A 16,800-nucleotide genomic window follows, 5' to 3' on the forward strand; every position below is an offset into this window, starting at 1 on the left:
TCTGCTGCCTGGCTTCCTGGGTGGAGCCTGTGCCACTGGAAGTCTCACAGGAAAGTAAAGTCGTGAGTAGTGCTTTAGGTGTGTAATCACCAAAGATTTAGTGAAGTCCCTGTGCAAGGAGACCTGAGGTAATGTCACTCAGTCCTAAGTCAAATCCCAACAGCAAAGCAGAGCTTCTGAAACTCATTCTGCCCCTAGAGGAGGTTTAGCAGAGACCACTGGTTCGGTCTGGAGATGTCACAACCACTGACATGCAGAGCACAAGGCCAGGCAGGGTCTACACTTGCAGGGGATCAGTGTGGTTCGAGGTCAATGTGCACGATTCAGACATGTATTCAGGATGCTCTGTGCATCTTTGGGGATTTGGAAGAACATGCTGAGTCCGTGGGAGTTTTATGTTCTTCTAGCCCATCTCCTACAGCCTGCCTGATGATTCAGACCTCAGCAAATGCCCTACGGAGGACACGGGCCATGTATAGAGGCTGCTCTGTGCAACTCCTGATGGTCAATCTGATTCTCCTTTCTGAGGAGAGTTCCTCTGCTTGTGCCAAGAGAGAGACTGTGTCCACATGCAAACTTGGCAGATATGGCAGGAGGACAAAGAGTCAGGCCAGCATCAGCTAAACTAGAAGGGATGCTTTTCACTTTGGAATTTTAGGTCACTTAGTTCTCATTTCTTCTACTGTTCTCTGATGTTATTAATATAAACTTTTGTATTGTTTTCTCTCCAGGTTCTTGCAGTGGTTCTTTAGCCTTTCAACCCTTACATCGTTGCCCCAAAGTAGGAAGATTCCTTTTGAAACTTACTGGTCATTTAGAAATGACAATTTGGGTACCAAATTATCACAAAAAATAAAAGGTTTTGAAATAAGTAAATGTATATATGTATATATATGTATATATATGTGTGTATATATATGTGTGTGTGCATATATATATATATTTTGTTTTGTTTTGTTTTGTTTTGTTTTCTCTTATCTTGAGACTGAGTCTTGCTCTGTCACCCAGGCTGGAGTGCAGTGGCGTGATCTCGGCTCACTGCAAACTCCACCTCCCGGGTTCAAGCCATTCTCCTTCCTCAGCCTCCTGAGTAGCTGGGACTACAGGTGTCCGCCACTGTGCCCGGCTAATTTTTTGTATTTTTAGTAGAGACGGGGTTTCACCATGGTCTCGATCTCCTGACCTCATGATCCACCCGTCTTGACCTCCCAAAGTGCTGGGATTACTGGCGTGAGCCACCGCGCCCGGCCTGCATGGTGTCACTTAAAATAATTCTTCAGAAATATTTATGAACGAATCATGGGCAAATCAGTTCCATTTCATGAGGTGATATAATCAACACATAGAAGTGTTTGCACCCATAGGACAAAATACCTTTGTTTCTGGTTAAAATAATCAAACCCATCAGAAATGATTGTCTATTCTAGGATGATCCACACCATGGTAAGTGAAGTTAAAACAGTATTCCCCAGGAGAAAAATCAAAAAATAAATAAATAATGAAGGCATGGTATATAGAAAGAATCTGTCACACATACAAAGATAGACAAGTCTTCAGAGGACTTTTCTACACATATTCATGAGTGAGAACACACATCCAACCAAAAATACGTTGATTTCACTTCCACAATCAGCAGTGTGGAGACTAAAGATAGTACAATTAAAATTACATTCTTAACCCAAAAGTCCAAAAACAAAGAATAGATAGTTTACAGAAAAGAGTTTGTAAAGCACAGAATGACAGGTCTACAGAAGGTATTCACAAGTGAGAAAACACATCTAACCAAAATTCTAGGGATTTCACCATCACAAACACCACTTTGGAGCCTGGAAATGCTGCACAGCCTCCTGTGAGCAGGACACTCACCGGGTCCCTGAACAGTGTGATGGCCCCAAACACAAACCTCAAAGTAAGTTCAGCCTCTCAGTGTGGCAGGAGCAGGTGCGGTGCCAGGGGATGTGTCTCCAGCAGTTGGAGTCAGGTGGGCTCAGGGAGATGACTGGAAAGCCTTTGAGGAAGGAAGAGGCCATGAGGCCTTAGTCATAGGCACAGGCTCCTCTTCTGTGTGAACAGGGCCAGGGTCCTCCAGGACACCTTCCAAAGCCTCCTCTTTCCTCCACATGTAGGGCGCTGAAGCCCCACCAACCCTCCAGGGTTTGCTGCCACATCATCCCTGGAGCAGCCCCTAAGGTTCCCTGCTGTTCTCATGGCTGTAGGGATGCTCAGTCATGTCACTGTAAGGGAACCCTAGTGTGTCCTGTCCTCACCTGCTGCCACTGATGACCTTCATAGCGAGTCTCCATGCCTTTGCCAAGTGACCCCACTCTCACCAACCATCAGGAGGCTGGAAAATGGCCTGCACTCCATGATGTTCGGCTTATGAGTAAGTCAGGGCTCAGGGCAGTCTCATGTTTGTGCAGCTCATAATAATATCACACAGGAATCCTATTTTGACTTTCCCTGACTCCTCATTCTCTCTGAGCAGTAACTCACTCTGCTCGTCCACTCTAAGACTTTCTTCTTGTGCAGCTGCTAATGGTGTTTTCATTTGGAGACTGATATGACTGTATTGGTGGAATACTAGATGTGTGCTTGTCACATCCTCACATTTCTAAGAATAAAAGACCCTTCTTTTGAGTGGCATTTATTCTTTTTTTCCTAGTTTGTCAGGATTACATTTCCAGTGATTGATGTGAAAACTTCTTTGCTAAAACACATTCATAATGCTATAAATTAACTGCATTTTTTTGAATCTCATAAATTTGGATATGTGATGTTTACTTTCAGATCCAAGTACTTTTTAATTTCCCTTTTTGTTGCTTCTTTGCCCCAAACTACATATAGTGGTACTTTACATATTTTCCAAATATTTAGATTCTTTTTGGCAAATTTTTAAAAAATTAAATTTAGAATTTCAGTGGCTTTATTGGTAAGAGTTGTTTTTGGTTACACTGATGAATTGTATAGTAGTGAACTCTGGGCTTTAGCTACCCATCACCCGAACAGTGTACCTTGTGCCCAATAGGTAATTTTTCATTCCTCCTCCTTCTCCCACCAACCCCATTCTGATAACTTTCTGTTTCTGATTTCTAATACAATCCCCTCAGTTATGAATAATTTATTTTTTTGATTTAATCAGCTTGGTTTTTTTGAAATATCTTGTTGCCCAAAATATAGTGTATCATTAGCCAATGTTTTGAAAGACCATGGAATCTGCTGTGGTTTGGTGGAGTGTTCTCTAAGTATCAGCCTTGTCCAGATGGTTGATAGCATTGTTGAAGTCGTTTGCATCCGCAGTGGCCCAAGAGGCTGGGCCGTTTGCACTTCAACCTGGATCTGCTGCAGAGCCCTTTTCTATCCTGAGTCCCACTCACGACTGGCTGACTTTCATGTCACCTGCTGGGCCAAACCTGTATTCCAACGGGTAGAATATGTAGCCTCCAGAAACCAAAGAAGTCCTATTTGTGGCTTCCTTCTTTGAAAGACAAAGACACATATTAACAACACTGGAATAAAATAAATATTCCTGTAATCCTGAACTCTGATTCACTCCGTCTTTATGTTACACACATTACAAAGGCCTTATTAATGGGGACACCATTTAGTGGCATTTGATGGCAGCAGTAGAGACGAATGCCCAGATTCAAGGTGCAGGGCAATACCAGCCAGGGGAAATCAGCCTCTCAACCACAGCCACAATATGACTAGGCAGCCACAAAGAGTTCCCAAGTAATTTTCTGATCATTGACCCGGTCGTGGTGCAGTATCTGGACTTGCTCTCTAATGAGGAAAATTTAATGTTGTGATGTCCTTGATTCTACTGCACCAACATTCATCTGGTCTGTTTGTCTGTCAGCCACTCACAAGGACACTCAAGTCAAATTCTCTAAATATATAATTGTCTTCCTTCAAATTCTAGAGAAAAGGTTGATTTTAGATTTGCCTAGCAAATTAAATATTTTAATGCTATTAATAGGATCATTTAAATGGTATCCTTCTCTTAGTCTCTCTGCAAAGGTTAACCTGGGGCAAATTTCATAATAGGTTTTTCTTTATTTTCATTTTCCTCTATAACTTCTGAGTAAGATGACCTACTCTGAGAAAACCTATGAAGTTAGTTTTAACCCAAAACAAAATCATTATTTTGAAATTTAATACCATCACAAGCCAGAGACAAAAGATATTACTCTTGCTTTATGGCTTATTAGGACTATTAATGACTAGTAAGTATTTGCTTTAATCTTCCATAAGTCAATAGGTTTCTTCCTTTTATTTTGCCTTATACAAATAATTGTATAATAGTTTTCCTGTTATAACAGATTTGTGTACCTTCTTATTTTCAGTATTAATTTTTGCCTAGGACTGCTAGGATTCCAGAATACAAAAGAAACCATTTTCTAGGTTGAGGATGTTTCTAATTTACTAAGGTAAGACTATTTACTATGAGTAAGATCCAGCTAAATCAGTAGCTAGCAGGAAATTATGCCTCTAGTCCTCTGTTAAACATGATAGTTTTATTCTTGACTGCTCCTGGGAAGTCAGAATTTATTTCATTTTATTACTGATGCTTCATTTTTTTTTTTTTTTTGCTGGTAGATATTTTAGAAGAGTTAATATCTAGAAGTATTCCAACATAAGGGCAACTGGCTCTTCACAGAGCATTTACACTTGGGTGATCCTTAGCTCCTGCCCAAGAATCACCAAGTTATAATGAAGTTCACTGCTGTGATGTGAAGCTGCTGCTTCCAGAAGGGCAGAGTCACTATTTCCAGTTGTCAATGCAGAGGCTGTATTATTATTATTAATTATTAATAGTATTATTATAAGACAAGAAATGAGCACTAAATGCTTTATTCAGCTCTTGTCTGTTTCCTTTTCTGTACTTTTGATTTTTGCTAACAGGAGGTGAAAAGAAGCAGTTAAAGGAAAAATTCAGCTGTCTTTAGAACTCAGTTTGATTGATTTGAACCATAATTTTTCTCTAGAGTCTTAAACATTATAAATTATAATTTATATAAACATTTGCTTGATTCTTAAAATTGTTTAACATGAAAAAAACGATGTGAGAACTCACAAATTCTATTTTCATTTTTTCTACAGGTAAACTATCTTATCTAAGTTACAAGTAAATAAGTTATTGCACTTTATTTTCTTGTTATATTCATTGAAGTTCTTATCTAAGTTACAAGAAATAAGTTATTCCACTTTATTTTCTTGTTATATTCATAGAAGTTCTTATATCAACTGCAGCTTCTACTACAGTTTAAATGGCTAGAATCCCCAATTTAGTCTCTAAAAACTTCTTGGGATCTTCATTTCCCATCTCTCAAGTAAACCAGGTTTTACTATAAGGCCTCAAGGCTAACTTCACATTCAAAGAGTAGAAAAATTATACTAACTTCTCAGGCAAGCTATGGTTTTATAGAGTTTTACTTTTGAGGACGGAGACCCCTTTCTTCAAGGATGTGAATTCGAGGGGAACTTATGAGACACAGAATGCTCAGGAAGAAAACAGACTCATAACTTCACTTTGTGCAGTTGGTGGGTGTGGTGGATTCTCCAGAGATATTAACAAGCACAGAGGAGAAGCCCACCACTTAATCCCACAGCTGTGTGGATAGTTTCATAGGATTTCTGAAAACCTTTTCCAAGAAAAAGTAGAGACCAGAATTGAAACATTTGGAAACAGGTTCAGATGAGACAGATCTAGAACAGGGTCCGAAGATTCAGAAAAGTCTGATATGGAAACAATGCTGTTTCTTTCAATGTTTGGAGAGAGAGATTCTCAGAAGCAGAAGACACACATTCAAGGAGCCTACATTCCCTGTGCTCTCTCCCTGTGTTCCAGAATATTTATCCATGAATCTCTGTTCCAGCGAGGGACAATTTCAGTTAGTGAGACAACGCAGACGGCTTCATTCCCAGGTGCCTGGGAGCCAGGAATCCATTCACAGGACCTGTAGCTTCACAGATGGAAGCTCCATTTGTGGGTGACTTGGTCTTAATTCTCATCTAAGGACAAACTCTCACCTTTAATTTAAAGAAGGTTCATTGATGCTCAGGTAGGGAACAGGCCTCTGTGTGTCTCAGCCTCATCCATAACAGTGTGGGTTTGCACTGTCTGGACTAATACAGTCTGTAGAACAAAGTCTACACGATGTGCAACAGGGATCTATAAATGAGAATGCTATGTTGTTTATTTCAAAACTGTGGGCTTATTTCTCAATGGCCTGTGCCAAACTCAAATTTTAAAACGTAATTGTTTTAAAAACCACAAAAATAAGAATAGTTTTAACCTTTTAGAAAATACTTAATCTACATATCCAGAAAGCCTGACCCACATCTGCTAGCAGTAGGTAAGACAAGCCCCGGTTTATGAAAACCTTAAACTTAATACTGGTCTCTGTAGCTCTCTGACACAGAAACTCCCCACTGTGCTGCTGTGTGGCATCCCCTAAATGCATATCCCTTCTACAGTGTCCTGCACATTTTGAGAAACAACCCTGGCACCTGATTCTCTGGACTACCACCTGCTGTGAGGGACTTCTTGCTGTAAACCTGTCAAAGCTTCACCCAATAGACTAGGTCACATGTGCTACTGCCGTCTGTGGTCATCTGTTTTTCCTTGGTCAGCCAACAAATCCCTCAACCCCCCTACAAACAGGATCACAGTGTCCACCCCATAAACACTGATTCCCGGTAATGAACACAAACAATTCCACTTCCAAGACTCTCTTCTCAAGTCATATGAGTAATACAGTTCTTTTCAATTACATGGATCCCAAACTAACCAATCAGGAAAAGGAGACACAGCCACACTAAACCCTGCCTGTAGAAATCCTCCCTCATTCAGATGACCATGATTCAGATGAGAGACACATAGAGGCCTGCTCCCACCCTGGTTCAAATGTAGGTTGCTCTTCCATCTTGTCTGTGTCCACTGTAGAGTGACCAGCTTTGTCTGCTGCTGTGAAAGCCCTGGTAGGATGCATCAACAGATAAGAGAGGGAGGATTCTGGTTAGAATTAGTAATAGTGTTCTTTAAGTCTACAGTTTAAATCGGGTAATTTCAAAGGCTTTTTCTGACTAAAAAAGGATTTGTCCAAGTTTTTACATTTTCCAGATATGTAAGGCGACAAATCATGAGATTTTTGTTAAAAATCCCAGGGGTAGTCTTTTTAATGGTTCATTCATTCTCATAGAAAACAGCAATGCTCTCCTAAATTCAAGCAATCTAAATACTTTGTGAAAATAACATTTTCAAGAATTGGCTTACAGTAAAAGAAAACAGGGCAATTTTTTTTACTGTTAATCACTTTCCTGCAATTCAAATCTTTGCATTAGATAATGGATAAAACTGATTATTGATTTAACACCCTTTCAGAATAATTATTTAAAACTAACAATAAAATGGACCATTTTGTTCTATTTTAGTTAGGCTGTTTATGTCTCCTTCTTCCATTCCTTCAGCTTCAGATGTTTCTGACTTTTTTTCACTACCATGGTTAAGAGTCTGACCTTTTCAACACTAAGAAGCAGATCAGAATTTGCTGACATCATCAGAAAAAAAGTCGGGTACCCAAAATTTGCAACATGTAATAAGAGAAAAGAATAAATAAAATTTTAACAGTGAAATATGAGACTTTTATTTCAATACCTCCTCGTAGCTACTGTTTAATATCATCAGCCCATATTATTGTCATGGAGTTCAACATTTGAAGGTCAATATCATTTTTAATCAAGTATGTTTTCCGATCTTATTAAAAAATGATATTTTGGTAGATTCCCCAGAAGATATTCAGATCAAGCTTTCTTTGCAGTCTTACCTACAATGGCATTTATTTGTGTTCTTGGGCAATTAAGTATGGCTTTGTGTTAAATTACCCAAGCTTACATCACACTACAAGCTAGTCCTTCATTGTTACTGGATTATTATTTTTTTTTCAGAAATGTGACTGTCCTTGTGAAACTATTTATTGTTGGCACCATTATTCAGGAGCTGTTCAATGGAATGTTAAGCACATCGATGACAAATAAAGAACAGTGTGGTTGTTTTTCTGTTTAATGATCAGTTGTATGGTAGGTTCACATCCCTAAGCTGTGAGCATTTTTACATAAAGTCAAGAAAATATCAGTTACAAGTACAGGTTACCCAGAGATGTAAAACTGTGAATGCAGTTCTTGCTCTTTATACACAGAGAATTTCCTTTGGATCTGTGGACTCGTGGCTGTGGCTGCACCACATCCAGGCTGGGGGAGACTCACGTCTCACTCAGAGTTGACGAGAACCTGGAAGCCCTGACAGGACCTGATTCCACATGACCAGGGAGACTGTGTGGGAAGAGCTTTTCTAATCATCACTTGAAAAAACATCATGCAAAGTTATTTCTTATTTGTTCTGTATCATTAATCTAGAAGATTCTTCCCTTAAGACAGAGTCCTCTGGGCCAGGCACAATGGCTCACACCTGTAATCCCACTACCTTAGGGGCCAAGGCAGGCAGATCTCCTGAGGTCAGGAGTTCAAGACAAGCCCAGACAACTTGGTGAATGAAACCCCATCTCTACTAAAAACAAAAACAGAAACAACAAAAAAGAAAGAGCCCTCTGGTTAACCTTGTATGTGTGAGACGATTATGATGAGATAGATCCCAGATTGAACAACTGGTCACCAGGAATTTTAAATTTGCTGCTGGAGGCACAAAATTTTGTCTCTCTTTCCTTTTTCTTACACTGGGCTCTTGGCTCTAAATGTAGAGGCTCACATCATTCTCCCTGTGAGGCGCTTGGACAGAGAGCTCTTATGCTGTTCACTCACCAGGTGCCAAGGCAGAGTAGATTCTAATATTTGAGTTGAACATTCTTGAACAGTTATCCTGGAAACAGTAGATACCAGACAGCCCTTGAACTGGCTCCAGGCCGCTTTTTATTTGCAGGCTCTCAGTTCAGCAGTGCTTGTGGGGATGGGCCTGTTTCATACTCTAGATTGACTGGGAGGGAATCAAGCCAGATGGCATTCACCTCCCAGAGATGTATCCTAGACACACATTTCCACATTGTCAGGGTTCTGGTGCTTTCTTACAGTCATGCCCTACACAGTGTGTCCCTACAAAAGGTCCGAACTTTCACCTTCAGATCCTTCTTCCCTTGATTGTGGGCAAACTTGGCTGAATCTAGTTCTGTTTTATTCCAAAGGACAATTTATATCACATTGTTCACAGAAGAGACATTCCCCCTGCCCCGTCAACCTTTTCCACACCACTGCACCCACCAGGTGATTTGCATATTGTCCCCTAGGGTGGACCTTCCCTTGTGAGTCTGAGATAAAAGCTCAGCTCTATCCTTGCCTTGACTGATCAGGACTCCTCAGTTCACCTTCTCACCATGAGGCTCCCTGCTCAGCTCCTGGGGCTGCTAATGCTCTGGGTCCCTGGTAAGGACAGAAAGAGATGAGGGAGGACAACTGGGTGGGAGGTGAGCTCTGTGGGCTCCACAGCTTCACATGTTTATTCCAATAATGTGATAGAGGCACATGGTCTATGCTCCAGGGAATGGAATTCAGGTTTGTCTTATGAATAATCAGGATTCACCTCCAGGGAACGATGACCAGTGCTCTGATTAAGAACTTGAAAAAAAAGAGTTCCCTTGTGGCTAATAAATAATGGGTCTATTTTAGAAAGTCTACTTTTCATGATATAAATCAAAACTTTAAAAATGTAACTGTAAATTTATATCACAAGAGAAATTATGAAAGTTGCTCATAATGTATCTATATAAACTTGCACTTCTCTGTTATTATTTCAGGATCCAGTGAGGATATTGTGATGACCCAGACTCCACTCTCCCTGCCCGTCACCCCTGGAGAGCCGGCCTCCATCTCCTGCAGGTCTAGTCAGAGCCTCTTGGATAGTGATGATGGAAACACCTATTTGGACTGGTACCTGCAGAAGCCAGGGCAGTCTCCACAGCTCCTGATCTATACGCTTTCCTATCGGGCCTCTGGAGTCCCAGACAGGTTCAGTGGCAGTGGGTCAGGCACTGATTTCACACTGAAAATCAGCAGGGTGGAGGCTGAGGATGTTGGAGTTTATTACTGCATGCAACGTATAGAGTTTCCTTCCACAGTGGTACAGCCCTGAACAGAAACCTCCCTGCTGTGGTGCCCCAGCTGCTCACATGCACTGCTTGTCTGGGGAGCAGGTCAGCAGCGTCTCTGAGTCTGCAAAAGAGGAGGCTGTTGGAGAATACAGGGCAGGGTTTGCTTCTGAGGACTCTGCCTGGGACTACAGGTGCATGCCACTAAACATGGCTAATTTTTCTATTTTTTTGTAGAGTCGGTGCTTCACCATGTTGCCCAGCCTGTTGTCAAAATCATGGGCTCAAGCCACCCACCTGACTTGGCCTCCCAACGTGCTGGCAGTACAGTGTGAGCCACTGCGGCAGGTCAGCACCCCTGTTTATGTTCCTGTCACCTGCCACAGCCTTGACTCTCATAACCAACAGGAAAATGAGGAGGTTCTAGGGCCCTGTGAGTAAAAAACTGGGATGATAGGGAAAGGAGAATGGAATCTCATCTGAATCCTCCTTCCTTGCCTACATTTGTTTAAATTTATTGAGCAAAAGGGCCAGACTACTGATCATTTCTGGCAAAACATGTTGAGTACATTTTAGGGTTTAACAGTTTTGGGTACCTTTCAAAGAAAATATTTGGTTATATGTAAAATTGGTATTTTCCCACTTTTTAAATTCCTACTTCTCCTGTTTGCCATTCTTCTCCACTCCATGAGACAGTAGAGACAGGATTATTCACTAATTCTCCTCTGGCGGAGCTGGCTGAGGACAATCAGTAAGATCTTGGTTGTGAGTGTCAAATAGATTTTGTAATTTCATAGCAGACGCAAGTTCCTAATACTAAAACTCTTTGATTACAATTACCTCTTGCTGATAGAAAAAGGGAGTTCTTGAAATTTTGAAAGTTGGTTTTAAAAATAAAATGCATACACTGGAAGATGCAGTATACTAAAGATGTAGTATTTTCCAGGGATCACTGAGAAAATACAGGATGAGGTAAACAGTTTTATTTTCCAAAGTTCAGAATTTGAGATTGGGCAGACTGCAGGAATGGGAGCATGAAGAGAACATAAGAGAGATCAGCTATTGTTCAATTACACTGCCCTTGATTATGGTGGGTGGGGATGTGGCTGGTGGTGGTGATGGCAGTTGATGATGTGGATCCAAAAAGGGGCCAAATGTGTTACTTGTGAAGAACCACAGAGTTGAAAGCACTGCTGCATGGCTTCCTGGGTGGAGCCAAGTCTTCGCACTTTCCAAACTTTCTCTCTCCTTTATTACTCACATGAAACTGCCCTCTCTAGTATTATGGTGGAAAAAGCATTCTGCACCAGCTATTTTCATGGGAGTATGGCCAAGGATAATTATTTTTACTACTTATGGATTTTTAAAATCCAGGACAGATATAAATCCTAATACCAAAATAGTTTGATTTGCCTCAGTTGCCTTTTGCTGACTGAAAATAGAGTTCTTCCAATTCCAAAAGTGGGCTTTGAAAATAGACAAAATAATTCAGATGGAGAACATAAAGTTTACATAATGTACCACAGGAACAATGCAGAATTATATGAGATTTTTATTTCCTTCTCAAATTCTTAGAATTTTAAAAATATTTTACTGACATAGCATTTTAAAGAGAAAATTTTTAGTGCTATGTTGTCATAAGAAAATGATTCAAAGAATGAATAAATGCATTATTTTTATATGATACTATTCCTGAAAATAAATCTGAATCCTCTATTTTAGTTGTTAATGCATAGAAAAATTATGCTCTTAATATATTCCATTGACAATAGTGCTCTAAATTTATATGCTTCCTTAATTTGAGGGCTACAGTCTGATAAATATCTATCTACATTTTGTCATGCAACTTTTAAACCTAACAGAAATGCTTTCGTTAAAAAAGCAACAGTGCTTTCTCTACCATAATGCTAGAGAGGGCAGTTTCGTGTGAGTGGTAAAGGAGAAAGTTTGGAAAGTGGGAAGACAGCAATTTTGCAATATGACCAAGTGTTATCATGCAAAAAACTATCCCCAAACCAGTCATTTCTAACATGTATTTCACTTGTGTTACCACTAATCTGCATCCATGATCTGATCATTCTGCCAAATAAATTTACACGAACCCGAGTAATGAGTGATGTCTGTCACATGTGATAACACGGTGTAGAGACACAAAAGACTGAATCAACAGAACAAGATCCTGATACAGGCTAAGGGTTTAAATAATACTTGAGATGATTTATTTCAAGATAACAGATTCCATAGGAAGTGCAATTAAAATTCCAATGTGTCATTTCTGTTAGGTTTAAAAGTTGCGTGGCAAAATGTACATAGATATTTATTAGACCGGAGCTCTCAAACTAAGAAATATGAGACACTCAATATGTTATTGAAAAATACTAATTAATGCATCATTGACCCTATATTTTATTACATAATGCAGTAAAAGAAAATAAAATGTAAGTAGCAAGAGCACGAGGTAAGCAATGCCATCGTCACCTTTAGCCCTCCTGGGATTGACAGCACCTAGTCACCTTGAGTTTCTGCTTTTCTGCGAGACAGGAGATAAAATGAAAACCCATTCAAGGTAGTTAGTTATATTTTGGAGAAAGCAAACAAAGATACCACCTACATGATGCTGATATCCCAAAGGCATATATTCTCAAGTCAAAATAGTGAAAAGTATATGATCCCCAAAACTGAAAGGGGAGAGATACAAGGAGAATCAGAGCATGATCAAATTTAATTACAAAGAAGCCTCATAATATGGTGAACTAAATGTAACAAGGTTTCTTTGTCTGTTGCCATGGCAGTGCAGAGGCAGGCAGGTGGCCTTGGTGGTGTAGGTGGCTCTGCTCCGTGAGGTCACTCCGGTGGGCAGGAGGCACGAACACCCTGAGAACACAGCCTTCCTCCTTCCTCACAGTCATTGCCTGCCCAGCCATCCTCAGCAGCATGAGGTGGGACAGAGTGGAGAGAAAGCTGTTTTCTTCTAAAGACTAAAAACAAAAACAGAAAAAAAAAAAACAAACCTGGAGCTTTCCATCAGTGACAAATGTACTTTTGACTCAATCACACATTTGAGAAGTTTTCCAGTGAGTGGATCTGCAGATAAACCCACATTCGTTGTTTGTTTGTTTTAATCTGAAAATGTGTTTACATGATTCTTGAAAATATTTTTTGACTGTAAACTTATATTTGTAGTAGCCTATTTGAAGTTATCATTTACTATTTCATAATTGCTACTAAAAAGTTATTGTTAAAAAAATCTGTGACTCTAACTGTTCTTGTTTGAAAGGAATACGTCTTTTTAAGACACTCAGACTCCTTTTAAGCTCCTCATTTGGCCCTCCTTTGTTTCTGATTCAATGTATTGTTTAATTTGTTATTTATGACTAATTAATCTATTAATTAATTTTCACAATCACAGAATCAAATGTCCCATAAGTTGCTATGTCAAAGACCTGCCTGAAGATGGCACACATGCTCCACAATGAACAAAGGACAGCACCATGGTCTCAGGAACACTGGGAAGTAGGAGTGCTGGTGTCCCATTATCAACAGGGAGCCCTAGAGTTAGAGTCAAATCTTCCCTGTGACCTGGGCACCTGGGAGGAGCCACCCGTGTGCTGAGCTGTGGGAACCTGCCCCATGCCCTGAGACTGGAAGCACGGCCTTGGCTGTGTCCCACCTGCTATGGACTGAATTGTGCCCTCAGATTCATGTTGAAACCCTAATTTTCAATGTGACTGTAGAAATCAGAACCTCTAAAGATGTAATTGAGGTCATGGCAGGGGGTGTCCCTGATCCAGTAGGATTCATGATTTTGTAGGATCCAGAGACCTCTCCTTTTTCTTCTCTCTCTCTAACCGCCTTCCCCTCCATGGAAAGGCTGTGTGAAGACATGGTGAGAAGGTGGCACCTACAAACCAGGAATAAGGTCTTTAGCAGAAAACAAACTCTGCTGAACGTCGATCTGGGATATTCCAGGCACCAGAAATGTGAAAATTAAATTCTGTGGTTTAGCCATCCAGCCCCGTGTTACGGTGTGGCAGCGGAAGCTGACTCATCCATCTTCCCCACCCTCTGTGAGCAGATCAGCTTCAGGAGGCCCTCGTGGACATGGGGTCCCAGCTTTGCTCTTCTTCCTCCTGTTTTTCCAACTCTCTGGTGAAGAGGGAGGACTCAAGATTCATCATCAGTTTCTGTGCATTAAACATGAATGTTTCCTTCAAGATGAAGTTTTTAGCCCATTTTGCTTTCTCAGAATTTAATCAAACTGAATGAAGTATGTACTTACAATTAATATTTGGGGATGTTCATATTTGTTCCCCCCTTATATGACAGTTGGGATATTGTGTGGTGCTCATCTCCAGGCCCCTCCCTGTGTTCCAGGAGACAGGGTCACTGTCACCAGCAGAGCCAGTCAGGGAAATAACAGTGTCTAGCCTAGCTCCTTGTGAAATAAGGGCTGACACTGAGCTCCTGCTGGCTCCCACTGCTCCCTGGACACGATGCCTGCCTGGGTCAAGGGGGTGAGTCTGGACAGACGTCACTCTGGCCATCAGTAACCTAACTACCTTCATGACCTCCCACTGTGAACAGAGTCCCGGAAGCTGCTGGAGCCATGAAAGTTGGACAGAGAAATCCCACATCACTGCAGTCAGAGGGGGGCTATGAAAAGACCGTGGGGGGGTTTCATACTATGACCACCCAGCACTGAGCCATGGCTGCCACTCTGTCTGATGGGAGCCCCCAGGGGAAGATCCACTCACACTGTGCTCTAGAGGTCGTTTTTGTCACCATCTTTGTTCTAGCTGGTTTGGGCCAGTTTCTGTAGTGCATCCTGTTTTGTCCAGATCCTGTTCTGGTCAGCGTTGTCATGACCAGTGTTGTGATCAGTGCTCAGAATACAAGCCCTGATGATCTCCTACCTTATACTCACTGCCTTCTGTGAACCAGATGTTCTGATAAGGGTCCTGTTGGATCCTACTCGAATCAGTTGCCACACAGACCCTCACTGAGGGCTGAGGGCCACAGACATCTGAAGATAAACAGAGGTCCAGAGAATGATAGCCTGTGACTGTCCTCTGTAAAGACAGCTGCTCCCCAGATGGCTGAGGGCTGTCTTTGGCTGTGTCCTTCTTTCTGAATGATAATGAGGGATAGAGCAGGTCTCTAAGCAAAACCTCAGCAAGGCCTTCCTATGTGTGCTGCTCTAACCTGGACATAGGTGGCACTGGATACACTTAGGGAAGTGAGGAAATTTATAGTCACAAGGAAGAGAGAGAAAGGAGGAGAGAGAGAGAAGAGCCTGTGATGTGTGTATAGTACCAACACTGATAGTATGTTCTTTAATGGTTTATTGTTGAGTATGATGCTCAAATGCTCAGGTTCTATTCCATGCAGCCGATACATATACCTTATATAGGAAAAGGGCCTTTGCATATATAAATTAAGGATTATGAATTGGGCAGATTATCCTGTATTGACCAGGTGGGCCCTAAATGGGCCTGTCTTTATTAAATGTCTGTCTATCTCTCTTATAAGGACATCACGATTGTCCTTATAAGATAGACATAGACAGACATTTTAACAAAGTCTGCAGAAGAGAAGGCAATTTGAAGACAGTGGCAGAGATTGAAGTGATGTGGACTCAAGCCAAAGAAAGTTGAAGCCACCAAAAGCTGGAAGAAGCCAAAAAGTAGACTCCCCGCTGGAGTCCCTGCAGAAGCTTTGATGACAGCCTGCTCTTGACCCCTGAAACTAGTGCTGGACTTATGGCCTCCAGAACTATAGGAGGAGAATATATTTCTGTTGCTTTAAGCCACCAAAGTTTTAGTAATTTGTTATAGCAGCCCAAGAATTCTAATAAAAATGGGGCTTAGGATAAGTCCAGCCTAAAGGTAGTATGATGATTTGCACTCTCCACCTTCATTTCTCTAATGTTACACATAATTGGTTAGAAGAAGATTTTTATGATGGAAACATTGTACAGGAAGCCACCCAGTATATACAGGGGCATCTGTTAGTTACAGAATAAATATTGACAGTTCTTAGTTGAAAATGACATCTGAGGCTGGGCTTGGTGGCTCACGCCTATAATCCCAGCACTTTGGGAGGCCAAGGCGGGTGGATCACAAGGTCAGGAGATGGAGATCATCCTGGCTAACACAATGAAAAATCTGAAAAATACAAAATTTTTCAGAAATTCTGAAAAATACAAAAAATTAGCCAGACATGGTGGCACGTGCCTGTAGTCCAAGCTACTCGGGAGGCTGAGACAGGAGAATCCCTTAAACTCGGGAGGTGGAGGTTGCAGTGAGCCGAGACCACACCACTGCACTCAGGCCTGGGCAAGAGAGCAAGACTCTGCCTCCAAAACAAACAAACAAACAAACAAACAAAAAACCCACCAAACCAGGACTTTTTGAACTCAGCTCTGAACCAAGTGGACCTAATAGACATCTACAGAACTCTCCATCCCAAATCAACAAAATATACATTCTTCTCAGCAGCACATCGCACTTATTCTAAAATTGACCACAAATGCCTTATGTAAATGACGAGTTGATGGGTACAGCAAACCCATATGGCACATGTACACCTATGTAACCTGCAAGTTGTGCACATGTACCCCAGAACTTAAAGTGTAATAATACAAAAAAATGACATGTGACTAGTAGTATCTTATCTAGAATCTTCATTCTAAGATACTCAAGGACGC

The 16,800-nt window shown here is 41.1% G+C and overlaps 1 long non-coding RNA gene, 1 gene segment (V, D, J or C) and 1 further gene, besides 2 other annotated features; all 3 read left to right on the forward strand.

The window, feature by feature from the left end:
* IGK (immunoglobulin kappa locus) overlaps positions 1–16,800 on the forward strand; it is a 1,378,008-nt gene that overhangs the window by 985,014 nt on the left and 376,194 nt on the right.
* LOC105374862 (uncharacterized) lies at positions 3,440–8,055 on the forward strand. Its single transcript, XR_001739587.2, has 2 exons — positions 3,440–5,986; positions 7,948–8,055. It is a non-coding gene; the product is annotated as an uncharacterized LOC105374862 (long non-coding RNA).
* Positions 9,384–9,432: a sequence feature (IGKV2D-40 leader sequence).
* IGKV2D-40 (immunoglobulin kappa variable 2D-40) lies at positions 9,384–10,117 on the forward strand. The segment is given in 2 exon segments: positions 9,384–9,432; positions 9,804–10,117. Coding segments are annotated over 2 exon segments (363 nt in total).
* Positions 9,804–9,814: a sequence feature (IGKV2D-40 leader sequence).

Source organism: Homo sapiens, chromosome 2, assembly GCF_000001405.40.
Source record: "Homo sapiens chromosome 2, GRCh38.p14 Primary Assembly".
NCBI classification, from domain to species: domain Eukaryota; kingdom Metazoa; phylum Chordata; class Mammalia; order Primates; family Hominidae; genus Homo; species Homo sapiens.